The sequence below is a fragment of the Homo sapiens genome, chromosome 4 (assembly GCF_000001405.40).
Source record: "Homo sapiens chromosome 4, GRCh38.p14 Primary Assembly".
Classification (NCBI taxonomy): Eukaryota; Metazoa; Chordata; class Mammalia; order Primates; family Hominidae; genus Homo; species Homo sapiens.
The window spans coordinates 59,517,395-59,523,923 of NC_000004.12; the positions used below are offsets into that span (position 1 = coordinate 59,517,395).

Here is a 6,529-nt window from a genome sequence, read left to right on the forward strand (position 1 = left end):
TCACACCCCTGGCTTGGGGAGCTCCTAGGTCTGGGATGCCTGAAGGGCTGCAGCTCTTCTCTCCACTTTGCCTGCGACATGGTGAGCAAGGTGCATGTTTCAGGCCTGATTGTGCTACAGGTCTTTCAGCCTCGCCATGCAGCAGGTCCTGAGTTCTTGTCCTGTGACCAGGAAGAATGAGGTAAGCAGACAAGTAGAGGATAAGCAAGATGAAGAGGAGCTATATTGAGCAATAGAACAGCTCAGAGGAGACCCACAGTGGTCAGCTCCTCTCTGTAGCCAGGGTGTCTGGATGAGTGTCCAGCTCTCAGCAGAGAGGGTAGTTCCTCTTTGTAGCTGGGAGTCCCATTGTCTTCATGTTGTCTCCCATTCCTCTCTTTATCTTCTCTCTGTCCAAGACCCGCCCCCTCACCACCCCAACCACCACCCTCACTCAGTCTGGCTGAGTCTGGGGGTTTTTAAGGGCCTCAGAGGGGAGGAAGTGCCTGCTGATTAGTCCATGAGTGGCCATGGGTAGGCCCAGGAAAAAGGGCCACACGTTCTCACTCCTGTCTGCCCACTGGAAAAGGCAGCCCTGGCTTCAGGCCCTCCCCAGCTTAAAGGTGGGGCTTCACCAAGGACCTGCCCTTTTCCACCCAGAAGCTTGTCTGCCTCCCACTGCTGTTCATGGTGTCCAGGCTGCTTGTGCAGAGAGGTGCCTGCAGGCCAATGCCAAGTTGCCCTCAGTCCCTCCCCAACCTCAGCCTCTCTCCCATGCTTGTCAGTGACCAAAGTCTAGAGGGGACAGAGGCGGCAGGGTGCTGGCATATCAGGGCTGCTTTGAATGTGCACACACTGGGCTGGGTTGCAACAGTGCTTGAGTTTGGCCTCAAGCCGGCTACCAGATCAGAGCAGGCATCAACACTGGGGAGAAGCTGGGCAGCAGGGCAGGCACTTCCAGCCCTGCAGGGGCAGGGGCCTTCCTGGGCCCCTGAGAGTGCAGAGATGCTTGGATCCACAGCTGTGGCAGGGTGGCTGCAGGGGTACCTGGGAGGGCTGGGCTCCTGCTTGCTCCTGGCTCCCAAGAGCACAGGTGTGCACCGGTCTCACCCTGGCTTGGGTGGTTGCCGTTGCGCCTGAGAACTCCCTCCCCGCCAACTTGAAAGGGGCGGGGCTCATGCTTGTCCCCGGGTCCCACCAGCTCCGTGAAGCACCGCACCACCCCAAACTCGGCTCCACCTGGGGCCTCTCTCTGCCTTCCCCTCTCTTCCTGAATGCTCTGCTTCCCCGCCAGACTCAGCCTGGTCCCATCGCGGCAGTCCTCGGTGCAGGCTCTGGTGATTGTCCGCCTATTCTCCACACCCTCCCAGCAGTGGCCGCAGGGCCCGGGTCCCGATCCCCGAGCAGCGGAGGCTCTGGGCCTGGGAGTGGGTCCCGCTTGACTGTGAGAGGGTGAGGGCAGCACAGTAGGCTGCCTCCAGGTTGCAGGGCACAGGGGTCCTACCACTACCGCTGTTGCTCCTGCAGCCCCTCCTGCAGCCCCTCCTGCAGCCCCTCCTGCACCTCCCCTCCTGCAGCCCCTCCTGCACCTCCCCTCCTGCAGCCCCTCCTGCAGCCCCTCCTGCACCTCCCCTCCTGCAGCCCCTCCTGCACCTCCCCTCCTGCAGCCCCTCCTGCAGCCCCTCCTGCACCTCCCCTCCTGCAGCCCCTCCTGCACCTCCCCTCCTGCAGCCCCTCCTGCAGCCCCTCCTGCAGCCCCTCCTGCAGCCCCTCCTGCACCTCCCCTCCTGCAGCCCCTCCTGCAGCCCCTCCTGCACCTCCCCTCCTGCAGCCCCTCCTGCAGCCCCTCCTGCACCTCCCCTCCTGCAGCCCCTCCTGCAGCCCCTCCTGCAGCCCCTCCTGCAGCCCCTCCTGCACCTCCCCTCCTGCAGCCCCTCCTGCAGCCCCTCCTGCACCTCCCCTCCTGCAGCCCCTCCTGCAGCCCCTCCTGCACCTCCCCTCCTGCAGCCCCTCCTGCAGCCCCTCCTGCAGCCCCTCCTGCAGCCCCTCCTGCACCTCCCCTCCTGCAGCCCCTCCTGCAGCCCCTCCTGCAGCCCCTCCTGCAGCCCCTCCTGCAGCCCCTCCTGCACCTCCCCTCTACAGCTGGCATGTTGGTAGCGGCCGCTCCGGATGGCCGGTTGCTGCCATCAACAGAATGAGGTAAATGTTGCCCTAGAAAACTTCAACTCTGTAATAGAAAACCATGGAAAGATTTCAAGTTCTGACATTGGAGGATTTTCTGTTTTTAATACATTGACCTGAGGAAAGACAATTGTTTTGTGCGTAGCACACTAGGGAGAGTAATATTTAAGGTGCTCCTATAATAGTCTAAATGAGAAGGATGAGAATTTAACATTTGTGCAATGGTATTAGATATAGATTTTAAAAGGGGATGAAGAGAAAGTTTTAGAAATAGGAACAGAAGTATGTGAATGTTTCAGTCAGGTGTAAAAGAAAGAGAGGAATTGAGAATTCCTTTATGCTTTTAGTTAACATTGATATAAGTCAATTATGTAAAAAAATAAAATAAAGAATACAACAGGAGCCAAATTCAGTTGAATATGTGCTTGGCTTGAGATTCCTGAATAGCGTGAATGAGGATGTCTGGTACCAATTTGGATAACAGATACTCCCTGAAGCTGTTTAGCCATTTATTAGGTTCTAGATTTTTGTTTCATGGGTTTTTTAACTTACAAAATATGCACAAAATATATTCTGCAACAAAGGAAATATCTCAGGTTGAGCATATTCCATTGGAATTTTTTTCAGTTTTTGTTAAGGGGAATGGTGCCAACCTCTAATTTATATTATGGACACTCTTTGGATTCTTAATGAAAATAAACTAAAAACATGCAAGCAGTGCTTCAGAATAAATATTTTTGTCAGATGTTTCAGTGAACTTTTAGGAAATGTGTTTTGATCCTATTCAACTCAGGGGCAGATGACACACAGAAACAAAGAAATTATCTTAGGTTGTTTCTAGAAGAATTCCTTTTCCAACTAAAAATTCCTCTACCTTACCATTCCAATTTAGCAAAATAAAACACTCAACTACTCTAGTTCTGAGCATTTTAAAATCTCTTTTTATTATTTCCACTACTAATCAAAATGGAAACTTTAGGTATATGTTTTGGTTACTAATTACCTGAAGCAATTTTACATTATGTGGTCATTTTTATGATTAAAATTGTATTCAGAGAATCCATATAAAGTGAATACAAAAAGCTTCTATTCAAAAGCTCTTTGCATTTTTATTTCCTTTATGCTAATTTTGTCCACCATTGCAGTCAAATTTCACTTACTGAATTTGGCAAGAGCTAAATGCACTCTACTGTGTTCTTTTGACATTTTATTTATTAAAATATCTGGGTACAGATTAATTTACTTTGCAAATATTTATTGTTGTTTCACCTGACTTAAAATGGGAGCTGCAGGCACTTTGATAAATGAATCAGGAGGTAATCTGGCTTCTCCAAACTTCTTGGAATTACTTTTGTCTGTTACTGAAATGATATCTTGTAATTTTCTGCTAGTATGTCCCTAGGGAAACTGCAACTGATATTCCCATGAATTCCATTTCTACAAAAACAGCTCTATTTTCCTTTGCTGTTAGTGAAGATACAGCATTGTCAAAAAGTTATAAAGCTCTGAAGCATTGTCTTGTAGCTCATGGTTTAAGGTTATACGTAAGTGATCAAAATTAATGAGGATGGACTGGAATGTGAAGAGGCAGGAAAATGGGTCTGTTTGTTAACCAATGGAATATTGTTACAGGATAAGTCTTTGCATGTGGTTGTGCTTCTAGCCACTTATTGGGGACTCCATTTATTACAGCATTTCCTTAACTGTTTATGATTCTGACAATTACATGGACCTATTTTTCTATCAGGATACCGGTCTCAGATACAAAGCTCTCAGTTTTATCAGTATAACATGAAAATATTTAGTTAAGGTTCAAATCATATTTGAAAAAAGTACATATAGATGACATGTTGCTGTTTGGGTAGGTGAGACAATAATAGGTGAAGCCTTCTGTGGGATAATACAGAGCCAAGTTAAAAATGAAAATTTTAGTTGACTGAGAAAAGTTATGGATTTATCTAACAAATCCATCAAGTCCACTAGTTGGCTTCCATATCAAGGGTGGTTTTGTCCAACAACTGCTTGCTCTCTTCCATCAAAAATTGCACCAGTCACATTATTTTACCCTTCTATTCAACAGATATTTATTGAGAGCCTATAAACCATTAGGTCCTCTCCTAAACCTTGGATATTCAGCAGCGAACACGAACATGGAAAGTCCCTGCTCTCTGTTAACCAGAGATTGGGGAGAGTATGGGGAGGGGACAATAGAGACAATTTGATCAATAGATACAAAATTACAATTAGAGAGAAAATATAAGTTATTATGTTCTATTGCACAGTAGGGTGAGTGGTTAACAGCTAGATATTGTATATTACAAAACGGCTAGAAAATAGGCTGTTTAACATCTTTACCACAAAGAAATGATCAGTGCATGAGGTGATGATAGAGCTAAATACACTGATTTGATCATTACACAACATATGTATGTATCAAAACATCAAATATACCTTATACATGTGTACAGTTACAATGTATCAAATAAAAATAAATTTAAAAAAGAAGAAACTCTCTGCTTTCATGGGAATTACAGCCTGCTTAACAAAAGACTATGGAGAACAAAAGAATGAATTAAATGAATGAGTGATCAGAAACAAACAAAAAAATAACTAAGTGGAAAAAGCGTGAAAATAATGTATTATTTCAAATAGACTAGTTAGGGAATGTTCCTTTGACTTGGTGATGTTTTTAACGGAGACATAATGAAGTAAGAGAGCAAGTCCTAAGATATTCGGAAGGAGAATATTTCAGGCAGAAACAACAATTTCAAAAACTCTGAGGCAGAATTCCAGAAACAGCAGAAAGAGCAAGTGGCTAGCTATAGTAAAGTCAGGAGGAGAGATGAAGTCAGAGAACAACAAGATCGTGCAGTGCTTGGTGGCCAATGAATGGGAAGGCATTGGCTCTTACTGAAGAATGGGGAAATCTCCTGGAGGGTGTTTAGCAAAGTGATAGAGGGAAAAGGTTTTTAAAAGATTACTCTGGCTTCTATTATAAGAAGCAACACCACAATTTAACTTTATGTAGGATTTTGCCAGATACCACAAAATATGAACAACCAACCAGGCATGCTCATCCTCATGCATTTTTGTTGTTGTTGTATACTGTATTTCTATTTTAATTTTCAGAATTGGATTTTTAGTTTAAGATCTTAAATTGAATTACCTGAGAAACATTAATCATATCTTCATGAACTCAGTATTTGCATAGTCACATAACAAATCACTTCTCAGGTGAGAACATACCTACCCGTTTGGGTCTTGGTTATGCGAGACCCTGGGAAAATCCACAGTGCAAGGATGTCAAAAGCCCTTGACCATCACATTTATTACACTTCCCTTTAATTCCCTGATTTTATTAAAAACAGCTATTTTTTGTCACTTACAGCTTTTTAGTTTTAATAGATTCAGGGGGTACATGTGTAGGTTTCATACATGGATATATTGCATAATGATCAGGTTTGGGATTCTAGTGTGCCCATCATCTAAATAGTGATAATTGTGCTGGATAGGTAATTTTTCAACTTTCAACCCACTCCTACATTCCCCTCCTCTGGAGTCATCAGTGTCTCTTATTTCTATTTGTATGTCTATGTGTGCTCATTGTTTAGCTCCCAGTTATAAATGAGAAACTGTGGAATTTGATTATATTTTTTCTGAATTATTTTACTTAGGAAATGGCCTCCAGCTCTATCCATGCTGCTACAAGATACTATTTTTTTCTAGGTAGTGTTCCATGATGTATATATACCAAATTATCTTTATCCAATCATCCAATGACAGACACTTAGGTTAGTTCCACAACATTGCTATTGCAAATAGTGTTGCAATAAACATACAAGTGCAGATATTTTTTGAATATAGCAAATCTTTCCCTTTGGGTAGATAACCAGTAGTAGGATTGCTGGGTCAAATGTTAGTACTAGTTTAGTTCTTTGAGAAATGTCCATACTGTTTTCCATAGAGGTTGTACTAATTTACATTTCTACCAACAGTGTAGAAGTGTTATCAGTTTCCCATGCCCTCACTAACATCTGTTGTGTGTGTGTGTGTCTGTGTGTGTTTTGATTTTCTAATAATGGTCATTCTGACTGGTGTGACATTGTATCTCACTGTGGCTTTAACTTGCATTTCTCTGATTATTGGTGATGTTGATTGTAGTTTCATATGTTTGTTGGCCCACTTTTATATACTCTTTTGAAAAATGCCTCTTCATATCTTTTGTCCACTTTTCAATGGAGTTATTTGTTTTTTTCCTCATTGATTGTTTGAGTTTCCCATAGATTCTGGATATTAATCCCTTGCCAGATGCATATTATTCAAATATTTCCTCCAATTCTGTTGTTGTATGTTTACTCAATTGTTTCTT

At 44.0% G+C, this 6,529-nt stretch overlaps 1 annotated feature.

The window, feature by feature from the left end:
- Positions 1,185–1,406: a silencer, noted in NCBI's record as "fragment chr4:60384297-60384518 (GRCh37/hg19 assembly coordinates)". NCBI's record gives its function as "represses an EF-1alpha promoter that drives an FKBP-Casp9 reporter gene in an ReSE screen in K562 erythroleukemia cells {active_cell/tissue: K562}" and the evidence as "EXISTENCE:reporter gene assay evidence [ECO:0000049][PMID:32094911]".